At 41.5% G+C, this 24,012-nt stretch overlaps 1 long non-coding RNA gene and 1 pseudogene across 1 annotated transcript, besides 1 other annotated feature; both read left to right on the top strand.

Annotated features, from left to right (window-relative positions):
• Window positions 1-309: 309 nt before the first annotated feature.
• Window positions 310-16,102, top strand: LINC00297 (long intergenic non-protein coding RNA 297). Its single transcript, NR_046510.1, has 2 exons — window positions 310-686; window positions 15,567-16,102. It is a non-coding gene; the product is annotated as a long intergenic non-protein coding RNA 297 (long non-coding RNA).
• Window positions 16,694-16,925: a silencer, noted in NCBI's record as "fragment chr13:30445927-30446158 (GRCh37/hg19 assembly coordinates)". NCBI's record gives its function as "represses an EF-1alpha promoter that drives an FKBP-Casp9 reporter gene in an ReSE screen in K562 erythroleukemia cells {active_cell/tissue: K562}" and the evidence as "EXISTENCE:reporter gene assay evidence [ECO:0000049][PMID:32094911]".
• TIMM8BP1 (translocase of inner mitochondrial membrane 8B pseudogene 1) lies at window positions 22,586-22,950 on the top strand (annotated as a pseudogene).

The following is a 24,012-nucleotide window of genomic DNA, read 5'->3' as shown; positions in this document are numbered from 1 at the left end:
CTTTCTGAAAAGGAAGAGGATCTGCAGCTGCCCAGCAGGGAGGAAGCTACTGGCACCTGGTCGTTGAGACCAGAGGAGTGCTACTTCTATACACCAAGCAATCTAGTCCTCTCCACATGAAGTAGTAAATAGTTGAGTCAGTTTCAGAACTCTGTCTTCCCAGAGAGCATCAGGGCATTATTACGTAATATCTTGGAGCACCACAAATGTACATTATCCTGAACAGTAACTAATATTGTTCCTGAGGCAGAAAGAGTCCTTCACCCAGCTCGAAAAATGATAGAACAGCTCAGGCAGGGCAGGGCAAGGGTTTAGGGCCTCCTTCAGGAGACAGATGACTCTGACCGGGGATCAGGGTCAGGGCTGGCATCTCTGCTCTGGCTAAAATTCAAATTTTACATGTATCTCTATGAGGTGGGCATTTTGCTGTCAAAGGTTTTATGGATGGTTCTAGATGTGGAAACAGATTATTAAAAGGAAAAGCAAAGCCTTGCTTGGCAGAGCTTACACTTCTCAAGCATTGACCTGAGCCTTAAATTTTGCAACTGTAATTTTAGAGGATGCAGGACACACATCCTGTTTTGGAGGCTGTTTTGGAGGAGCAGGAAGACAAAAAAAGAGATGCTGTGGACTCAGTTCTCAAAGGCAAGTGGTGGCAGAACACCAGGAAGAAATCAGTTAGCGGGGTAAGTATCCACATGGATCACTTTCCTTCCAAATGGAGGCATATTCTTAGGCAGATTTTTGACGGGCCTCTCGGGACCTCCAGTAGTGGCTGCATTAACATGTTGGCCCTGACAGGGCACTTGGGGTTGGGACTCACAGTGCTTCTGTCCAGCAGAGCTGTGATAGACAAAGAAGGTGATGTTTGCTGCAGAAACCTTCAAAGTCTCCTCAGCAGCAGCAGCAGCCGTAAATCTAGGGTCAGTTTTTCTGCCCCTCAGGCACTAAACAAGCCACAGTGAGTGAGTGTCTCATGGTCCCGCAAATAAGGAAATGTATCCCAGATACAGTTGGTGGCACCCTCAGAGGAAAGTCAAGATTACAAAGGGACTGGATATGTCAGAAGAAGAGAGGAGTGAGACAGAAAAGCAAAAGAGAAGTCTTGGGGGGCTCTGAGGCAAGCTGCGGGGTAGAAAACCTGTGTTGCTTCTTGTTTCACACTGGCCAGAATCCTGTAAAGTTGTTGTTTACCCAGCAGCCACTAAGCAAATGTCCCTTCTTGGGCGGTCTAGTCCAGTCCCTAGGTGGAGGTGGAGAGAATAAGACAAAGGACAGGGTGACATGAGCCCACTGACCTTTCACCTCGTCACGTATTTGTGGGTGGTCTGATTTTCCCTGAGCTGCAGAAAAACCTCAGTGGCCCAAGCACGTGTCAGAGCTTCCTCCCACCATCAGGAGTTTTGCCTTCTTGCCAGGTCTGGCTGCACGAATCACCTTCACACCTATCCTTCTTCCTCTGACAGGCTGCTGATAACAGCATCATCATCTCTGTAGAGGTTTACAGACCATACAGCACACATCTGTTAACCCTTCCCACAGGCCAGGGACTAGTTATCATTGTTCTTATGTTCTCACTACAGAACCTGAGGTCCAGAGAGGTTGAGAGTCTTGTCCAACATCATACCATTTAAAGAAAAAATCATTGGCATCTAGCATTTATTGAGCACTTGCTACTTTCCAGATAAGTGCTTTATTTGGATTTATTATTCTCATAACAACCCAGTGTTGTTGGCGTATTATTGTCTGCAGGGTACAGGTGAGGAAGCTGAGAGCGTGCACACATCTTGACCATAGGTTCGCATGTGTGGGACACCAGTAGTGTGTGAAGTGGGCAGCCTGACCTCACAGCCTTCCCTCTTCTGTGTCTCTGCCACAGCTAGAAACTGGCAAAGGCAGAATTTGAATGGAGGTCCCAGCCCACCTTTCCCACGAGGCTGGCGCTTCTCAAACCTGAATGTGTACATTGCCATGAATCACCCGGGGATGTTGTTCAAATGTGGGTTCTGACCCCACAGGTCTGAGACATGGCCCAGGGTTCTGCGTTTTTTAATGAGCTCCCTCCCAGGTGACACTGATACTATGGGACCGCAGACTCCGCTGTGAGTAATGATGTTCTATACTATTGTCACAGGGTAAACCCCCAAACTGGGGCTCAGCCTCGGAGGCCACGTGGGTGTTTGGCTTCACATAGGAAAGAATTCAAGAGTGAGCCAACAGAGTAAAGTGAAAGCAAGTTTCTTAAAAAGTAAAGGAATAAAAGGGTGGCTACCCCATAGGCAGAGTAGCATTTGGGGGCTGCTCGACTGACTATACTTATGGTTATTTCTTGATTAGATGCTGAACAGGGGGTGGATTATTCATGTTTTCTGGGAAAGAGGTGGGGAGGTCCTGGAAATGAGGATTCTTCCCCCTTTTGGATCATGTAGGGTAACTTCAGGAAGTTGCCATGGCATTTGTAAACTGTCCTGGTGCTGGTGGGAGGTTCCTTTAGTATGCTAATGTATTATAAGTAGTGTATAATGAGTAATGAGGATGACTAGAGGTTGCTTTCCTTGCCCTCTTGGTTTTGGTGGGTTTTGGCTGGCTTCTATACTGCATCCTGTTTTATCAGCGGGGTCTTGTCACCTGTGTCTGATTCCTATCTCACTATAGCTACTTTTTTTCTTTTCTTTTTTCTTTTTTTTTTTTTTGGACAGAGTTTTGCTCTGTTGCCCAGGCTGGAGTGCAGTGGCAGGATCACCACTGGGCCTCCCCGGCTCAAGTGATTCTCCCACCTCAGCCTCTCAAGTTGCTGGGACTATAGGTGCTCACCACAGTGCCCAGCTAATTTTTTTGTTTTGTTTTGTTTAGAGATGGGGGTTTCAATACATTGCCGAGGCTGGTCTTGAAATTCTGGCTTCAAATGTTCTTCCCTCCTGGGCTTCCCAAAGTGTTGGGATTACAGGCATGAGCCACTGCACCTGCGGCTACTCTTTGTGATCTCTGACTGCCAAATCCCTTGCACCTGACCCCTATACACACTGTTGTCCTACCTTCTCTTATACATACATTTGAAGGCCTATTTGAATAGACCTTCAAATCTGACTTAGTCCATGGTTGCATCCAGTAGGGCAATGGCCCTTTACTGGGAATTAATATAATAATAATTTGAGGGGCTCTTCCAATGCAAAAACAGCTTTGCCTCAATTGCAGAGATTTCTGATTCAATCTACAGTAATGGGAGCGGGGTTGGGGATTAGCATAGTGTGAGTCTCTGCCCTTTGCAGTATAAATCAATCCACCCTTTCTCATGTGCTTTCGATTCATCCATTACCCAAGTGATCTACATAGTAAGACCCCAGAAAATAGGCTAGCAAAATCAGAGTTCTCCTCAGTGGTGAATACTTACCCTGAATGGTTTTTCTCCACCACAGCTGGATAGGCCGACTTCTCTGCTAATCACACTATGCATGTACAGGATTGGCTCTCTTGCCTCCACCCCACCTCCAATGACATAATCACTTATAATCAATCATAGGCTTTCCTCTCTTGCCACGTGTAGACGTGGCCAATATGCATAAATATGAGCCTTTTGGGGAAGGATAAAAACCACTTCTAATCTGACAAGTATAAGGCTGAAGTAGCATTGATGATTTTTCTCTTCCCCAAGTCCTCATCCCCAGTAATGTAGCCGCTCTGAGCCTTGGCTGAGAAATAAGAATTCTTATAGAGGACTCCTTTCACTTTAAGGATTTTCAAAGACCAGCTCCCTGTGTGGTTACGTTTTCCTCTGATTTTTTTTTTCTGCAGTTCTAAAGAAAGCCTCACATTGAGAAAAACTAGAAAGGCATGATTCAGTGATGTCAAATGCTCTCAGGATTCCTCCTTCCAAAGTCTTTGTTAATTGTACCCAGTATCTATAGTGATAAATTTAAAGACACAGGAAACAGCGGGATCCCAAAGACACTAGACTATTGTATTGTCCCATTAAGTTGAAACAATGGAGCAGAGTCTTGAGCCTGTCTCCAGGGCAACAGAAAATGCCAGTCACAGTCAGGTGGACTTTCTGATGAATTTTTTAAAAATAGAGTTGCACATACTTTGTTATTTTAAAGAAAGTTAACTCATAAACCTTTAGGTGCAATTAAAAATACTTTGAACCGAAAATGTCCTTGATTTAATTGCAAGCTTTCTTTTTTTGGTATTTTTTTTATTCCCATAGCCAAATAAAATTCTCACACCAGGGGAAAAAGACCCTATGGAAAGACCAAAAAATGACATATTAGCAAAAAGCTGAATTTTATTTAAATATGTGTGTTGGTATTTAAATATCAGCAGCTGAATTAGCAATGGGCATTCTGACATGTGTTCTTCTGTTTCTATCACCAATCTAATTCACTTTGCTCTGGACTTAGGGCTGGACCTTCTAAAAAGCCCAAGACCATCAAATATAAGTCAGGAACTATGAAAAATCCACAATGGTCCTGTGTGTCCTACTGGTGACTCTGCCCTCAGCTTCTCGGTTTGGCCTTGTCTCTCTCTGGCCCTAGCCTGCCCTCTGCGCTCAGCAAATTCCTTGCCATCACCTCTCGTGCATGACCACTCATTTTGGCAGCATTTTTCCTGGCTGACCTCAGCATTCTCTTTTGGATATGATTTTAAGCACTCGCTCTCCAGAAGTATTTATGATAGCTAGAAATAAAACAATTCTAGAGCTGTGCTATCCAATATGGTACTTATTAGTCATATGCAGTTGCTTATATTATTTAAAATTAAATAGGCTGGACGCGGTGGCTCATCCCTGTAATCCCAGCACTTTGGGAGACTGAGGCGGGCAGATCACCTGAGGTCAGGAGTTCGAGACCAGCCTGGCCGACATGGTGAAAGCCCGTCTCTACTACAAAAAATGAAAATTAGCCGGGCATGGTGGGGCGACGCCTGTGATCCCAGCTACTTGAGAGGCTGAGGCAGGAGAATTGCTTAAGCCTGGGAGACAGAGGTTGCAGTGAGCCGAGATCACACCATTGCACTCCTGCCTGGGCAACATGAGTGAGATTCTGTCTCAAAACACATAAATAAAAATTAAATTAAATTAAATTAAAACATTCAGTTCCTCAGTTGCACTAGCCACATTTCAAGTACTCAATAGCCATATGCAATGGACAGCACAGATATAGAACATTCCCTTCATTGCAGAAAGTTCTGTTGAACAGTACTGACTTACAGACACTCTTAGTCTCATCCCAACCCCAATGGGCTGACCAATTTGATGTTAGTATCTTTCTGCAGTTCCCTCAATCCAAATCGTGTGAAACTGAAATCCCTAAAGTCTGAAACAATCTTGTTAGCATTCTCTTGAGATAGTCCCAGGATGGTTCAAAGTTCCTTCACATAACTTCTGAATGCCTATTAGCCCCATTCTGGCTATCTAGAGCTCCAAAGACACTGGGTAGTTGGATCATTAGTGAAGAAGATTTAGGTTTAGGAACTCACAGCAGCGTACTGTTCTAGGACCAGTAGAGTACCACATTTATTACTACCCATTTAGGCAGAGCCAGACTATATTAGTTTGCTGCTTATGTGCCTTTTATTAATCAACATGCCTAACATTCCACCATTAGAAATTTATTCATTTGGGCCTTACAGATATCTTCTTTATTCCCCATACTGGGAGAGAGTATATGGACTATACTGGTTAGGGCAGATTGAGAGAGAGAGTTAAGTACGGAGACACACATTGTCGATGTCGTTGCTTGGCTTACTCCCCACACCCCCACAACACAACCCCTTGGGTGTGAGAACAGAAGTAAGGCTCTGCAGTGCCTTGCCATATGTCAGATATCATAAAGGAGAAACTACTTCTAAATGTTAGCCACTATATACCCAATACAATGCTGGGCCCGTAAGTGCTCACTACCATATCTGATGGGTTAAATTATAGATCGTTTTAATAATATTTTAATACATTAGAATTAAAATCTAATATATTTGAATCACTCTGAAGTATGTTCACCCATCATGAATTCAAAATTAATTTTTAAGTGCCTAAAGCGAGTTTTTTCATGCTTTTTTGACTTAGTGAGCAAAAATCATTCCATCCACACCTGCCACCCCAAACAAAACTTCTTCATTTTATTTACTCCTTTGCTTATTTATTCATTCAACAGCAACTTTTGTGTACCTACTCAAGATTGTCCAGTCTCAACAAAGTTGAATAATACCCCTTGGTCTAGAAGCTTGGCAGATGACCATTGTTGAAGGAAAAACTTTAGACAAATTAAATTTAACACAGCTTAATTGAGCAAGGGACAACTCAAGAATCAGGCAACTCTTACAACCAGGAGAGGTTTAATGAGACTGTAGAACTGCCAAGTGGCTGGATAACATTTATAGACAGGAAAAAGGAAATGATGTACAGAAAATAGAAGTGAGGTACAGAGAGAGCTGGACTGGTTTCAGCTTGGCATTTGCCTTATTGGAACCCAGTTTGAACATTTGGCCACAAGGAATTGACTGAAGCTTGGCTTCTGTGATTGGCTGAGACTTTTAGCTCTTTGTTACCGGAATATACTCCTAAATTAGGTTTTCAGTTTGTGTATGGACTAGGCTAGGTTGCAGTTCTTTACATAGGATTTCCACAGAGGCCTCTAAAGCCCACATTTAGTTTGATTTAACACTATGTAATTCCCACGTGGACCTGCAACTTCTAGAATAGAAGACTTCTGGCCCCTTGCTACCTCTGATTTGCATCCTCCGTTCCAAGTTCCTGAATCTCAGTCTATCAGTTAGAATTCATCCTGGGTGCCTAATTGAGGGAAGCCTAAATAATAGTAGCCTACACAAGACAGACAATTTCCCTCTCAGCTGAAAAGCCAGAGTTGGCCTTCAGGACTAATACAGACAGCTCCCGGTCTTCTAGAATCCAGGCTGCTTCCACTTTGCTGTTTCACTAACCTTAGTGCCTTACTTCCTGACCTAAGATCTGCATTCCAGGTGACAGGAAGAAAGAAAAGGAAAGAAGAGCATTCCCTCACTCGTTTAGGAGGCTTCCTCTTAATCTCACTGGGCAGGATTTAGTCCTTGGCTGCACCTAGCTGCAAAAGAGGCTGGGAAATTTCATCCTTTCCCCCTCAGGCTTCTGATACAAAAGTAAGAGTCTAGAATGGACAGTGGGGTAGACACCTAGCAATCTCTGTAGCCTACCACATGCTGTGCCCAAGGCACTGTCCTACTAGAAATATACTACCTACAGCTGCAAAAGTAATAATCCATGTCCTCTGATAATGGAAACAAAAGCCATTAAGTGCAAATAATATTATTCACATCACCAACATTCTTTCAATCATGTATATTGTAAAGTGCTAATCTTATCTTTTGAATGCTTGCTTGTTACTGTAAAACACGAGTAAAATTGATGTTTGTAGGCATGACTATTATAAACTCTCACATATATTAAAACAAAACCCTTGCAAAGGCAATAGCAAAGCTATAAAGAACTAAAAGCTATAGAATTAGTACATCTACGTTTTTACATATTAAAAAAATCCATTAAATTGGTCATATTGACCATGGTATTTTAAATTTCCAATTATCCTGCTGATTGCCAAATCTTAGAATAGGACATAGAAAATGGGGAAATAAATTATTGTTACCATAAGAACGCTAATTTTTTAGATCATAACTTTGAAATAACTCCATGTCTTCAGTTTTTAGGCATAAAAGGAAGAAAGAGAGCGGAGTGGAAAAGCCAGCGTGTGGAACACAGTAACAAAGTCCAAGGAGGCTTTGATGTTAATACCTGGCAGAGTTAAAAGAGGAGCAGTTCAAACCTCACCTGCTGCTAATATTCAATTGGGGATAATTAAACCACCATCAGGTTTCCCAAGCAGAGAACAGATACATTTTCTCATGAGATGGAAAGTGCTTCTCTACGTCCTGCCCAAATAATACCCAAACACATGCAAAGAACTTCTCTTTAAATTGAGACTTGTTGAAGTTAACTGTTTGGAGCCAGTGTTTCACTTGCTTTCACCCTAAGGTCTGAGGTAGATCCTGATCTGCAGCAAAGTCCCCCTCCCTGTCCTGAGTTTCTGGGTTCCCAGGGTAACCCCGCCTAGTCAAACTCCAGGAGGTTGCCGGGGTGTTGCTTCTTTTCTCAGTCTCCCAGGGATCCTGGCCCTCTCCCCACCACTGACTGCCATGTCCCTGTGCGTCCTGGCTCCCCCTGGCACCCTGTCACCACTGCTAGTCATTCATAGGCTCCCTAGTCTTGCTCCTCAATGACACAAATCATAGATTTCTGGCCAGCACTGGCTAAAATCAGTAGAAATGATGAAGCATGGTGATCCCCAACAGTGGGACCAGCTCAGATGGGGGCTGTAATCCCATGGTAGAGACTTACATCTCCCAGTAGCCTTTCTCTCCCTTTCCATAGTAATGGAACCCATAATTTTAGCTGTGCACATGGCCACCCAAAATAAAGATCACATTTTCCAATTTCTTCTGCAGCTAAATTTTTTTTTTTTTTTTTTTGAGATGGAGTCTTGCTCTGTCACTCAGGCTGGAGTGCAGTGGCAGGATTTCAGCTCACTGAAACCTCCACTTCCCGGGTTCAAGCGATTCTCTAACCTCAGCCTCCTGAGTAGCTGGGACTATAGGCATGCACCACCATGCCCAGCTAATTTTTGTATTTTTAGTAGAGATGGGGTTTCACCATATTGGTCAGGCTGCTCTCCAACTCCTGACCTCATGATCCACCCACCTTGGCCTCCCAAAGTGCTGGGATTACAGGCATGAGCCACTGCGCCCGGCCTCCTGCAGCTAAATTTAAGAGCACATGTCTAAGTTCTGGCCAGTAAGAACATAAGTGGAAATGGAAGAGAGAAGTTGTGTCCTTTGCTTCTGTTTCTTCTCTTCTGTTGGTGAGAATGTAAAGGCAATGACCAGAGCTCCAGCAGCTATCTGGAGCCATGAAATGGCCTAGAGAGTGAAAATTATGCATGAGACAAAAAATAAAGTTGACAAAGTTTGGGTTCTCCAGACACTATGGAGTACAACCTAGCTCAGAACTAACTGCCTCTGAACTTACAAAACATAAGAGAGAAATAATGTTCTTTCCTGCTTAAGTAAGAACTGTTACATGTTAGCTTCAGCCAAATTTAATCCTTACTATATGCTAAAAACATGCAACTGGCCATAGTCAAAATAGTGACTGGATGAATTGGGTTTTCATCTTCTGGGCCTTCTCCTTTGTTCCTTCTCCCAAGCCCCCTGACTCTCTGATGCCCTCTGTCCCCTCTACATGGATACCCTCCCTTGCAGCTCGCTGCTTTGCAATTTTCTAATCGTTTGTCTTCTATCCAGATTTACACATCCTATATCCCATTGCTTCGGGATCTGGCAGTGACTGGCTAGGCAATGTGATAATAAAACATATACTAAGTTATTAACAGGAAATAATGGGTGTTCTTATTCCAACATAGCATCCTAACAGGGGCTTGAGTGACTAACCCAAGGAATGACTAACATGGGCACTCTGGCAGGTAATTATGGAGGGATTTTTAAATAGGCAGTCTTATTGACATTTGATATAAGAAATACAGTTCTGCAGACTGTCAGGCAACTCCAAGTTTACACACATAGCATGTCAGATTGAATTAGGATTTCCAGATACTTAGCTTTCTCCTTATATTGCTTGCTAGTGCAAAACCATACCAATGATGTTCAAAATAAAATACATGGAGACTGGTGGGAGGAGGAAGTATGGAAATTGACAGTTTGAAAACTTTCCAATTTTTCAGAAGTGATATATTTTTAAATTTTGCTTTCTATAGAAAGTATTACTTTTGCACCAACCTATAGAAATTGTGTTTTAAAAAGACCCCCATATCTAACATAACAATGTGCGTTAAAATCTTAGGTTGCTCCTGTAATCTGCATCAGCTAGCCCTCAACCACTCCAAATAAGCATACAATCTAAGTAAAAACGATGTGCTCCATATGAAAACACCACTTGTGGACATCGCCCGACTCCTGGTCCTTCCAAGAAAATTGTGACCCTCCACCCCCCAATGCCCTTCTATATGGAAATTATGGGGCTACCATTGACTGACACATATCATCTTTCTTACTTCTCCATCATCAAATCCAAATCTGCTAATAATTGGTGAAAAGGTGATGGTTTGTTGTTATTTCCGTAGCATATTCTAGTGGGCTTTTCTTTAACATCTTATAACTTATAGCCAGCTAACAGGCAGGGAAATACATAATAAAGGAGTTCAGGAGACTGCCTGGCTCATCAAATACTGCCTGAATAAATATGCACTTTTGCTTGGCTCCCATTGGTCTCACTTCCGGTAGAAATAGAGTAATTTGAACCTATGCCCTGGACCCCAAAGCAACAGCTTATGAAAGACTTGTAATTGTAAACCAACTTCCTTAAAGATAGCAATGCCTTGAAATGCAGGACTGGCCTTGGAAATTAGGGAGGCAAGTAACTTCATGCTAAACCCTTTATCTTTCCTTTCCTCGCCCTTTATCTTATCATCCTCTTCCTTCTCCCTTTCTCTTTCATGCCACTGCTATTTACAACAATAGACTCCTGGTAGGAAATGTGTTAAAAAAATTAAAATAAGTTACCCACAATAAAAAGCATATATATATGTCTTAAGCTACTTTCCTCTCTTCTTATTTTCACTTTAAGAAGTGTCCCTTGCTATATAATTATGGTTGTTGTTCTAAGCCCTTACCTAGTAAGCTCACCAAATCAGAATGAACCTTGAGCTTAGAGTCCCTGGACACACACACAGTTGAGAACTGGAAGAACACTGGTTGGCTGTCAGCACTCTCCTAGGCGTTGTCGGGGAGGACAAGGCATCTCGTGCCGTGACTGCCACAATTAACTGGTAGTCTTGTGGGAGACAAGGCAGAATGGATGAAACAATCACAGAACAATGCCAACGGAAGATAATTAACAATGATGTCACGCTATAAATCAGTCCTTGAAATAATGACCTACATGTCTAAAAATAGAGCTCAGGTGAGTAAGAAATTAGGTGGGTAGAGAGGTATAAGAACAGGGCAGGTCCAGTGGGGGATGTGTGAGCCATGCCACCTTCAGAGACAGTATGCAGAACTGCTAAAGGCAGTTATTTAGGTCAGAACTTAATCCTGTTGCAGGTCTTTTGTGAATTCTCAGTTTTGAGGCATTCAGCACTGGTTAAAAGGAAAAGGACTCTGATGTGTGCCCCTTCTTACTTCCCTACAAGTGGGAAAGCCACTCAGGTGACAGCATAGGGATGACCTGCAAATGTCTTCTTCTCCAGCCAAATCCAGGATGCAAGGACGGGAAGGAAAGAGAGTTACTTCCACTAAAAAGCTATTAGAGGGAAATAAGTGAACATGAAATAAGGTTTTAATTTTACTTCCAAGCCATATTATGTATATGTAATGTCTAATTCTAATCTTTTTGTAAAATGAGCAATAATTTAGATGCACTGAAGTCAATATTTAATTACACATGAGTTCAAAATAATTTGTCCCTTTGCAAATGTAAAATTTTTGCCAGTAGGAAAAAAAATCCAGTCTAAAAGAAGTATGATTTTACTTCTAATTCTATATTTAAATAAAATTTACCTTTAAACCTTGGTTTAAATTGTGCAGGTCCATTAATTTATAACTTGCGTGCAATAAAATAGGGAGAAAATCTCGGCTCGAGATTTTGGTGTGATCTCGGCTCACCACAACCTCCACCTCCCAGGTTCAAGCAATTCTCCTGCCTCAGCCTCCCGAATAGCTGGGATTATAGACATGGGCCACCACGCCCAGCTAATTTTTTGTATTTTTAGTAGAGATGGGGTTTCTCCATGTTGGTCAGGCTGGTCTCAAACTCCCAACCTCGGGTGATCCACCCGTCTCAGCCTCCCAAAGTGCTGGAATTACAGGCATGAGCCAGCAAGCCTGGCCGATTTACTATTTTTAACAAAACTGTGTAATTAAGTTGTAATCTGCAGTGATACAGGTTTACTGAACATCCCCAATTTTTCATTAACTCACTCATCCTGTGTTTTCCCATTTAGATGAGTTGAAATGCACATTGGGAACTATTTGAAAACATTCAATTTTTAAATTCTACTGGACCCTCCCTATAACTCTTCACCTATCTCAAGATTCTGAATTAGAATAAATTCTCCTTTACGTACTTTAGTAACCATATTATTTCGGCCAAGATCTCAGGTTAGCAATTTATAATTATCTTCCCACGTCAAACAGGTCTTCATTGGCTGATAAACCATTCTGCCTCTCCAAAGCTGAGATGTTTGAGTGCATATGTAGTGGATGTCTGCTTTTCAGTCATTCTTAAAGAAGCTGCTGCTGAGCCAGTTGATCTCTGTAAAAGTTGCAATAGCTTGTATCTTTTAGGCTTTCTTTAGTAAGTGGTTAGAATCTTTGGCCATTTGCATGGCATTGCCAGCTTTACCAGTAGAAGGACTCTTGGTATAAATTAAATGTAGGTAAGCCAAATTATTTTAAATGCAATAGCGCTTTCAAATAAATCCTTTAGTTGCTCCTTTGCAAAGTGAAGGATTCTCTTACAAAGCCAATAATTACTTCCTAATGCATGGGTTTTGCAAATCTGGAATTTAATCCATCAGGTTTGCTTAAAGCAGATAGATCTTTATTTGCTCATCTGAGGGTTGGTCTTTTGGCTTAGTGTTAATTTAAAGAATAAAACAATCAAGAAAGAATGCTCTAATTGGACTCTTATTTTGGCAGCATTGCTGATTAATGTGTAAAGAGTAATTTGGTGTCAGTGGAAGGGAATGTAAGGTATGGAGGTGGGCTGAGCAGACTGTGCCTCAAAGCAATATGGCCAAGATTGGAGCATAGCCACAGTTTGCATACCTTTTATTTTCTCTTTAAATTTACCAGGATGTTTGGGAGGTTACACCCTAAGAAAACAAACAAACAAAAATCCAATATTCCACATCGCTGAAACAAGAAGAGCAAACCTGCCACTGCTTCTGTTTCTAAAGTGGTAGCAACAAGAGTAGATGAATCTAGCACGAAGAGATACGTAGGCAGAGCAAGCAAGTATCCAAGTTGGTGTTGTAAATCAAAACCACTTGGATGGAAAAGGACAAAATCAGTAGGAGAAGCATGTTTTGCTGACCTGGAGAATACAAAACTAAAAATAAGACCTTCTTCCTCTTGAGAAAGGCTGAACTGTGTCCTTTAAATTTATCCTTTGTGCTCCTCACTCCCATGGTTCCATCTTATATTGCTGCCATTTGATCCTCCAGGGAGGAAAAGAATCCTGCTTTGTCCCTGCCAGACCTTCAAAGCAAACGTAGCCCTTTGTTTCAGAGCTCTTTTTCCTTCACAAAATGCTGATACAGTTTCTACAAATCGAGGAAATCTGATGGCGGGAGTGGGGGCAGGTTTTGCAGAAAAAGAATTTTCCTTCCTGAAACCAAGACAGGATAAATTTAAAGTCAACTCCCCAGGGATAGGAACTGTGCTAATTTGGTGGCCTAGACCCTATGTGCTTTAAGAATTCCTTTCTGGGACTCTATGCCAAGCCGTGTAAAAATTAGGGGGGAAAATCTATCCCACCTAAATGCTCTGGCCCTCCGGCTATCTAAATTTTTTTCAAGATTTTTAGCTGAATGTTCTTCAAGGTGATGCATTTTCAAAAGGAAACCTCCAATTCTAACTGCTCAGCTCAATCAACCTCTTTGAACTTTCCTTTGGGTTCTCTAAATCCTCAGTGTGCTTTACTGCTTGAAATTGAGCGAGTGGGCATTTCAGGGGATCAATCAAAGATAATAGGAGAGTTCTGAGCTTTTATAGTTTAAAAGAATGCTGTTTTCAGAAATCGTGAACAAGAGCACTATTATGAACATTTAATTATTTCTATGAATACATTACAAACTCCTCCATCACTAGAATGTAATAACTAAAAACTGCTTTATAATGACATTTAAATGGATTTCATTCCATGAAAATGAGACTTTCAAATCAGACAGGCAAACAATGACATTTTCCCCCATTGTTTCCTCAAAACTGTTGCTCCATCAAAACAGAAGAGGAATGTTGTTCCTGACATGTAAGACATAATACAAACATCACTTTCATGATAGTTTCAGGACCCTAGTTTGTAATATTTCAGGTTGCCTCCAGCTACTTCAAAATATTGTGAAATTCCTTCAACAAACAACCCTAAATAAAGTTTAACACACTTCAGTTGAAAAAAATGATACATGGCATGAAGGATTTTTAGAGGTTGAAGCATAAATCACCAATTATATAAATGTATTCGTACTATTGTATATATATTCAAAATATACATTTGTGTCAATTGCCAAGAGCCCAAAGTCCTGGGCTCTAAATGATATTAGATTGAGCTGGAATTCTCAGAAGTAAGAAAGTAAATGAACATTTAAAATACATTCAGCTGTATTTAAGAAATATTTGCGCAAGTTATGGACTTTTTCTTTATTTTATTTTATTTTATTTTTTTTGGAGATGGAGTCTCGTTCTGTTGCCCAGGCTGGAGTGCAGTGGCAAGATCTCGGCTAACTGCAACCTCCGCCTCCCGGGTTGAAGCAATTCTCCTGTCTCAGCCTCCTGAGTAGCTGGAACTACAGGCACATGCTGCCATGCCCGGCTAATTTTTTTTTGTATTTTTAGTGGAGACGGGGTTTCACCATGTTGCCCAGGCTGGTTTCGAACTCCTGAGCTCAGGCAATCCACCCACCTTGGCCTCCCAAAGTGCTAGGATTACAGGCGTGAGCCACTGTACCCGGCTGGCTTTTTCTTTTTCTTCCTGAATATACCTGGACTTTGGGCAATTGCTTTTTATGAGTTTCCCAAGAAGCTGAGTTTAGTAAGAAAGGGGATTTGAAGGTCATATTCAAGTACTTATTCCAACTTGGGTAAAAATGTTAAATGGGGAGAGTTTTTTTTTTTTTTTTAAACCTACGTGTTGTGACATAGCCTTATAATGGAAAAATATGTAGCCATTCAGTATGATATTTACAAAGAATTGTGATGCTGGTAAAGTGTCTATGCTAGTGAAAAAAAAAGTCAAGATTTCAAATTTTATATCTAGTATGAGTTCTAATATCTAAAAGAAATGTAGAAAACAATACTAACAGGGGTGGGGATTGGTGGTAGGGGTTGGAAAGGTTAGGGGTGGGATTTGTTTTTCTGGCTTTATGTCTTTTCACATTTTTCTAATGAGGATGCATTACTTTTGTATTTGTGATTTTTCACCAAGTTTTTTTTTTTAATTCATTTCTATGCCTTCTCTAGACCCAGTAATTTTTAATCCTTTTGTTATTTTTGCAAAGGTTCAAGTTAAAGAAGCCCTCTAGGTGTTGTCATAATAAATAGAGTATCCCAAGAACTATTGTGGTCAAAACCCAGTTGCACAGAAAGCGTGGATCAAATGGCTTACTTAGGCAGGTTTTCATCTAGACACAGCACATGGTACATTGTGTATGTCTGTTAAATGGCTGTCACTGATTATTAAGGGTTACATTTTAATGAGTAAACAAAAGATACTCTTTGTATTCCTCCAGGAAAAACCACATGGCTTAGAGTCTAGTGAACAACAGCTTAAAGGGGAATACAGGTAGAAAACAGAAGACAGTTCCAAAAGGGAGACTTAATTTTTATTTCCATGAAAGCTGAGCATCAGAAGAGACCTATTTTTTGGGTCAGAGACGTTTAACTGGGAGCTCTGTCAGACCTGGGACTAGAATCGAGAGCCCAGCAGAAACACTGCTCTGGTATTCAGGAAGAATAGCTTGGCTTGGAATGGGAAGAAGAGTGGGACTCAAGAATACAGACTTTGCAGGAGTCCAGCAGAAATCAGTTGGTAAAAACAGACCTGACTCGTGAGGCTGGACAGAGTCCTCCACGCCTTGGGATCTGAGTCACTGGAACCAAACTAGACTCTATTTTACTTCCTATAACCACCTGCCTGGACAGATTGCACCCTTGTCAGTTACCATCAGGGGAGAGTTGTTTTCTTCACCACGGTCACAAAGACTGGCCTTCATGTGTGTGCTATCATGGTGATGACTTCCCAGGGAGGAAAGTACAGGGAGGATGAGAAACTTTTTGGCCAATGGGAGCAGGAAGAACTTCAAGCTCTCCAGGAGATAAAAGCAAAGTCACAGGGCTCTGTGCTGCTGAAGCACACTTCTGGATATACCTGCCACAAGCAGCAACGCTAATTAAATTGGCATTCCTTATCACCACTGCAGTAGCTCCTCAGGAATATTTATATTTTGGCATATAAGTCTGTCTCTATAATATCATCATTGTGTTTTCTGTAATCCTTTCTCTTATGTGACCACCTGCAGTGGCTGCTGCAGGGGGGCAATTTGGCTGGTCCTGCCGACTCCATCTTAAATGAACCCAGCATCCAACCTCTTGTCCTCCTCTGCTCCCTCCCACCCACATAGTCTAAGTTTTCATCATTTCTTTTTATAAAAAATTTATTAAATTGGTGCAAAATTGCGGTTTCGGACCGTGAATTTTAAAATCATTATAACTAGGCTTAAACACATATTTATTAATCAAAATAGGAACCATTACAATCAACACATTTTTGCCAATAGGAAATAAGTTTGTTTATATTGTAGCATAAAAAACTGTGCTTTGGGATTCGACAAACTCTTGGAAAGCATTTTCTGCATCTTGCTGGCTGTGGAAACGTTTTCCCTGCAAAAAGTTGTTGAAATGCTTGAAGAAGTAAGTGGTAGTTGGTTGGCGAGAGGTCAGGTGAATATGGCAGATGAGGCAAATCTTCGTAGGCCAATTTGTTCAACTTTGGAAGTGCTGGTTGTGCAATCTACAGTCGGGCATTGCCATGGAGAATAACTGGGCACTTTCTGTTGACCACTGCTGCTGCAGGTGTTGCAGTTTTCAGCGCATCTCACCGATTTGCTGAGCATATTTCTCAGATGTAATAGTTCCACCAGGATTCAGAAAGCCGTAGTGGATCAGACCAGCAGCAGACCACCAAACAGTGACCATACCTTTTTTTGGTGCAAGTTTAGCTTAAAATGCTTTGGTGCTTCTACTTGGTCCAGCCACTGAGCTGGTCATTGCCAGTTGTCATATAAAATCCACATTTTGCCGCACCTCACAATCCAATCGAGAAATGGTTTGTTGTTGTGTAGAATAAGAGAAGATGACATTTCAAAACGATGATTTTTTTATTTTCACTTAGCTCATGAGGCACCCTTTTTCACTCTTCCAATTTCCTTCAAATGCTGACCCTAGAGTGGTCGACGTTGAGTTCTTCGCAACTTCTCATGTAGTTAGGAGAATCAGCTTCGATGATTGCTCTCAGTTGGTCATTGTCAACTTCCAATGGCTGGTCACTACTCTCCTCATCTTCAAGGCTCTCATCTCCTTTGCAAAACTTCTGCATGGTAAGTTCATGAGCAGTTCCTTGGCCAAATATGTTGTCAATGTTGAGAGTTGTCTCTGCTGCTTTAAGACCCATTTTGAATTCGAATAAGAAAATCGCTTGAATTTGCATTTTCTCTAACATCATTTTCATAGTCTAAACAGCAAGTAATAAGTCATTAGCAAAAAAAGCAAGAAATGTACATTAAAATGATGTATAACATAACCACATTTATTTAAGAATGTATTTCAGTACCAAATGGCAAATTTCAACAATGCAAAAACCGCAGTTACGTTTGCACCAACCTCATACAAATGAAGATCAAATATATTTAATGTATACAATGTGATTTGACATGCATTTTCGTTGAGTAATGATGACCATAATAGAATGGATAAACAAATCCATGACCACCCATGCTGCACCTTAAATCTTCAGAACTTGTTCATCTTATAACTGAAAGTTTGTACCCTTTGACCAACACCTCCAGCTCTGCCAGCCTTTGGCAACCATTATTCTACTCTCTGCTTCTGTTAGTTCAAAAGTCATCACCATTTCTCACCTAAATGATGGTAAAAGTCTCCAGATGATCTCCCTGCCTCTCCTCACATCCTTCTATAATCCATTCACCATATAGCAGCCAGAGTGATTGATATAAAATGTAAATCAGATGTTGATACTGCCCTGCTTCAACCCCACACATTCTCCCCATGCATTGCAGCAACACAAACTCTTTGCCAGGTCTACAGGGACCTGCATGAACTGCTTAACTTTGACCTCTCTAATGTCATACCATGCCATTTTCTCCCACACACAGCAAGCTAAAACTACACCAGTCTTCTCCTGTTTCTTGAACCTACCAAGCCTGTTCCCATCTTGGGGTCTTAGCATTTGAGAGTCCCTTTGCTGGAAAAATTCTCTGTGGTTTTAGTTTGATTTTTGTTATAGTATTTTTTTCTTTTTTTAATGCTAGGTTTTCAAATACAATTACCATATATCATTACTTTGCAAAATCATAACATTTTGCTAAGCAAGGTGACCACAGTGTTTTGCAGCCACATTGAGATCTGAAAGCTTGCATAGAAAGGTGGGGACAGGTGTCTGGCCTGGGGAGGAACACAGCTGACTGGCTCCCCAGCAGGCCTCTGGGGTGACATCTCCTAGGAAACCTTACCAAAATCTAGGTTCTGGACCTCAATTCTCCTCCTACTCCTATGTGGCTTTTCTTCTTCCCTTCAGGACTCATCACAAGCATCTCTCTTCAGAGAAACCTTTCTAATCACCCAATCTGAGTTAACCTGTCCCCTCACTCTGTCTTCCTGGGCCATTTTATTCATACCACTTAGCACAATCTCAGGTGGCCTTATCAATTTCAGTTATTTATTTGCTTGTTTTCTTACCTGTTTATTTTTTTGTCTTTCCATATCAGAATGCCAGCTTCATAAGAGCAGGGGATTTGTGTCTTCTGTTTCCTGCTGTGGCCCGGATGTCCAACACTGTAGCTTTCCAAAGACAGTGCTAAGGGTTTGTACTAGCACAGTTAACAGGAAATTTTTATTACCTTTCTGCAATGTACCCAATTTTCCAAAAGACTTCTATGTCCTGAACTGCATTTATGCAGTTTTTACTAACAGATTTTCCCGTGAGATAATCAATGCCGTCATATTCTAGCCCAAATCTAAAACATCTGATATTTGAGTCTCCTGGGCAGCCTTATCAGTCATAAATAAACAATTTCTTTTACCTTTTTAAAAGTATTCGATTCCTCCGTACTCTCTTTTCTTTCCTGTTTTGTTTTGTTTGTTTGTTTGTTCGTTTGAGTCAGGGTTTTGCTTTGTTGCTCAAGCTGGAGTGCAGTGGCATGGTCACGGCTCACTGCAGCCTCAACCTCCCAGGCTCAAGCAATCCTCCCAACCACCTCAGCCTCCTGAGTAGCTGGGACTACAGGCATGCTCCACAACACCTAGCAAATTTTTAAATTTTTGGTGGAGATGGGGTCTCACTCTGTTGCCCGGACTGGCCTGCTCTCTTTCCCATCACCATCTTTTCAGATCCCTGGCATCAAGAACCCCAAGCTGGAAACTGAGTGGGTTAACTTTCAAGGGCTTTGCCACTCTACAATCCTGTGATTCTTTGGGCCACCAGAATATGTCAGCTAATCAAAAACTAAAAACGTCACCCTACATCCAGAAACATGCTTTCCCTCAGTTGTCTATGCAGGTAAAGCGAATTCAAGATCCACAGCTAGTCGGGTTAGTTGAGCTAAAAACAAAGGCTAACGCCAACCAATAAACAAATTTTTAAAAAACTAAAAAGAAAAAAAAAAAAGAGCTAAAAACAAAGGAGCCCATCGCTTTAACTAAAGAGTCCATGGTGAATCATCCCATAAAAGACAATCTGTTCCAAAAATCACAGGTCTCTGTCCTTGATATGAAAGCTTTGTCATATCTTGCAGTCAGCAAATCAAGTTTTTATAAGAATGAAAATAAACACGCTCGTGGTGCTATAAATAAAAGGTGAATAGGGAACAAGCTCAAAGGCATGCCAACGCCACTGAAGCACAGAGGATCATTACGCAGCTGTTCAGAGAATCCCAGCACGCCCCTGACAATGGAGGTGCCGATGATTTGTAATTAAGAATTTTAATTTCATCCTTGACCTCATAAGAATCATCACTAATACAATTTGTTTGTAAACTTGAGCCTTCACACATTCTACTACCACAAGACCTGGAACAAACTAGCACAGGCTTGTGTGAAGAGCATCCACATACTCAAATATAATTGGAGTTTAAATTTGTGAAAAGATGAACACCACCAACAATAACAACAAAACGTTTCCCAGATATCTTCATGACCATTATTTGGCATATTCCAAAGGAATAACCTGATTTAGAGTAAACTATGTTAATTTAATTACCATGCAATGTAAGTCCAGAAGAATCACCAGGTAGAGGGTGAAATCAACTCAGGCTTCCAACAAAATCATCCTTCATTTTCCTCAATAGGCACCTGGAAGAAAATTTGAATTTAAAATCTGACCGGCACATCTTTAATTTTTAGAACACTGTTTTCATTGTTGTTGTTTTGAGACGGGGTTTTACTCTACCACCCAGGCTGGAGTGCAGTGGTGCAATCTTGGCTCACTGAAACCTCTGCCTCCTGGGCTTAAGCGATCCTCTTGCCTCCGCCTCCCAAGTAGATGGGCCTGCAGGTGCATGCCACCACGCCTGGCTAATGTTTGTGTTTTTTGTAGAGACAGGGTTTCGCCACGTATCCGAGGCTAGTCTCGGACTCCTGGACTCAAGCCATCTGCCTGCCTTGGCCTCCCAAAGGGCTAGGATTACAGACATGAGCCACTGTGCCTGGCCCTAAACTCTTAAAAACAGAAAGGGCTTTGGGCCACTTGCTTGCATCCAAACAGGACAGAGCTGGCAAGAAAAAAAAGGATAAAAAGTCAGTAGATCTGTCCAGGCCTCCAAGCATTTTACAGTGTCAGGAGGTGTGTTTAAACTTGCCATTGTTATACACTAATAAATGTTAGCGGTGTGGTTAGTTTTTAAATAAATGGTAAAATTTGATTTCACATTTTTTTTTTTACTACTTTCCAATGCAGAGTTGCCTGTAATCACATTTGTGCAGAAGGGAGGAACACCCTTCCTGGAATAAGACAAACCGAGAGTGGAATTTGACGGATAAACTGTGTCTTTAAAAGAAAGTAAACCCAAAGGCCAGCATTTTATTAAACCAATAATTTACTTCTGGGTCCCTGAAGCTGCTTACCTTTTTTTTATGTTTATGGAAGAAAAGTGAATATGCATGAGCTAAGGAGAGTGAAGCTCCTGTTCTTCTGACGTCTTAACTCTGTGTTAGTGAGTTAGTGCAAATTGCCACATGGTACCTTTTCTGATCATCCCCTCCCCTTCTCTTTAATCCTTAGAGTTAAACAGGCATGAGTATGAATCCCAGTGACCACAAGAAAGTTATTTAGCTTCTGAGTCTCTTTTATTCACCTGTAAAAATGGGCATTTCAACGGGTTGTTGTAGCGATTAGGTGAACTGAAGTATTTATACTTTAATAAATAAATCTGGTGCTTCACAAGTCCTTTTTACTTGTGCCTGACACATGGAAGTCACCTGGGGACTGTCAGTGCCATCCAATTTTCCTTCTGCTTCTGCTCCTTTTTCTTTCTATTCTCCTTTTGTTTTTGTTTTTGTTTGTTTTTGGCTCGTCCTCACCTTCTACATCCTCAACACAGCAGATGTGTGGTAGAGCCCAGGGAGGTTCGTGGGGACTATTCCATGTTCTTTCCCCTTCTGCTGCCTGATGAAAACCCCATGCAGTATGAAAAATTGCAAGGAAAAGAGCTCCACCAATCCATTCATTTCCATGCCCTTGTAATTGGTGCAATTCCCTTTGGACAAGGTAACTAAACAGATCAGGCATAATAAACAAATGCAAGAGTTGAGAGCTATGAGGGTGGGAAAGTTCAACAACACCTGCCCTGGGCTCCCCTAAAGAGAAGCAGAACACCGTATGGACACCCTCTCCTGCCTCTTGCCCAAGGCATGGCCTCTGTGCTTGTTGCTGCTGCTTTTCTATTAGCTCACCCTTTTGCAAACTTTGTCTATGAGTATACTGCTTCTCTCTCTCCCACTTCCCTTCCGTTAATGTTTGATTGTATTCTACATAGCACCCAGACGTTTTTGGATTCAAGTGCCCTGAGCTCCCTAGGATTCAGGGAAACGACAACTTTGATTATCAATAATAGAGATTCCAATTGGTCATGGAAATTGCTGGAGTTAACAATTCAAATCTTCAGACTAGCATTGTGCACAACATGAGCATCACCCAGTACATCTTTGTTCAAATTGCTGCAATGTTTTGAAGTAGTTGCAAAATAAAGTGTTTTAGGGAAATCTCTCATGTTGGATTTTCTATGAGTAGAAAGTAACTTTTTTCTCAACTGAAGCTGGTTTAGGACCTATGCATGTTTTAATTTTCAAACTAAATCAGGGGGTTTATTATTTCAATTCTGTTTAAATATATCAGGACACGCATTCAGTGAAATAAAATTGTGAAATGTGCTCCTGGGGCTTTAAGAAAAATGAGAGGTCCTGAGACTCACGTGGACAATGACAGTGCTGGGCGAGGTGGTTGAAGCAGGGTTGCAGCACAGGTGTGTCGCTTCCTGGAGCTGTTCTGGGATGGATGTGTGGAGAAGCCAGGGAAATGCCTAGACTCTCACACTGAAAATTGCCTCTCTAGCTCTGTGGACCGCTTCATTGACACCACTCTTACCATCCCAGTCGGCTTGCCCAGATTGTACAGAAAGGAGGGCAGTAGGCCATCCCCTGGGAGGATGAGAAGCAGCAAAGGACTTCTGATTAAGCAGACTGAAGAGCCAGTGGGGGAAGGTTGTCAACCCATTGTCAGGTCAGCAGCTGGCTGCTATCAAGTTTGTTGGTGTTAAAAAGTAACAGAACAAATGTTTAAAAAGTGAAATTTATTTATTTGGAATTCAGAAATTCCATGTTGTAGCACATCAGTAATTCAATAAATGTGAATTCTCAAAAAAATTAATAAAACTGCAGTGTCACTGTCTTTTCCATGAAATCCTGGTCTCACTGAAGTACTTCTAGTTCCACTGTAAGGTCACTTGGATATAAGATCAAGGATGGAATTGTGACAATAGAGAAAATAACAGCAGGAGATATACAGACGAACATTTCATGAAAAACCTACCCACAAAGACAAGATGATAAATTCCTCTCCAAATCTCCAGATAACTTTGAAAATGTCAGAACTGGGCATACCCAGGAGCTGGAGGCAGGCTGTGTTTGTAATTCAGAACATAGCAATTCCTGCCTGACTCTATTTTCTTTGCTTACCCAAGACAATCCAAGGAATCTTGTAAAGTAGTGGTATTTCCCCAACAGGCGGATGTTAGGAGAGTCCTAAGAGATAAAAAGCACAGGTCCAGAGCCTTCCTAGTTTCTTCAGCTGAACAATCCAATTCATAGCATTTATTGAGCAACTACTACAAGCTGAACCCTGATGATGTGCAGGTAAGGTTAGAACCTTAGATGTTTATGCATGACACTTCCTTTAAGTGAAGAATACCTGGAAACTTCTGCCCCTAGCACTTCACTTGGTGAGCTGCTTCTTTTCATTCGGGTCTCTGCTAAAGTGCCGTCTTTTCCAAGGCCTTCTCTGACCATCTATCCTTGAGTTGACTACCTTCCTTGTCACTCTTCATTTCATTACCCAATTTTACTTTATTTATAGATCTATGACTACCTAAAATTATCTTGTATATTCGTGTGTTTACTTGTTGGGTTTATTAGCTGTCTCCTTACGAAAACAGAGGCTGCATGAGAGCAGGGCCTCACCTGTCCAGCTCCGTGCTCTCGCCTGGTGCCTGACACAGGTATGTGAATGGATGCCAAAGCAGGACACACTTGCCAAAGTGCTATTAGTCAAGGGCTGCTGCAGGCCACACTGGACTCCAATGTCTTCCCCTTGGTCTTTCAGAGGCTGAAACTGAGATTGGTTGAGGTGTGGGGAAGGTTGTGGACTCCTTCCTGGAGGGCACTGAGTTT

The sequence above is a fragment of the Homo sapiens genome, chromosome 13 (assembly GCF_000001405.40).
Source record: "Homo sapiens chromosome 13, GRCh38.p14 Primary Assembly".
NCBI classification, from domain to species: domain Eukaryota; kingdom Metazoa; phylum Chordata; class Mammalia; order Primates; family Hominidae; genus Homo; species Homo sapiens.
The sequence above is the reverse complement of the archived record's forward strand: the minus strand, read 5'-3'. Positions and strand labels throughout refer to the sequence as shown.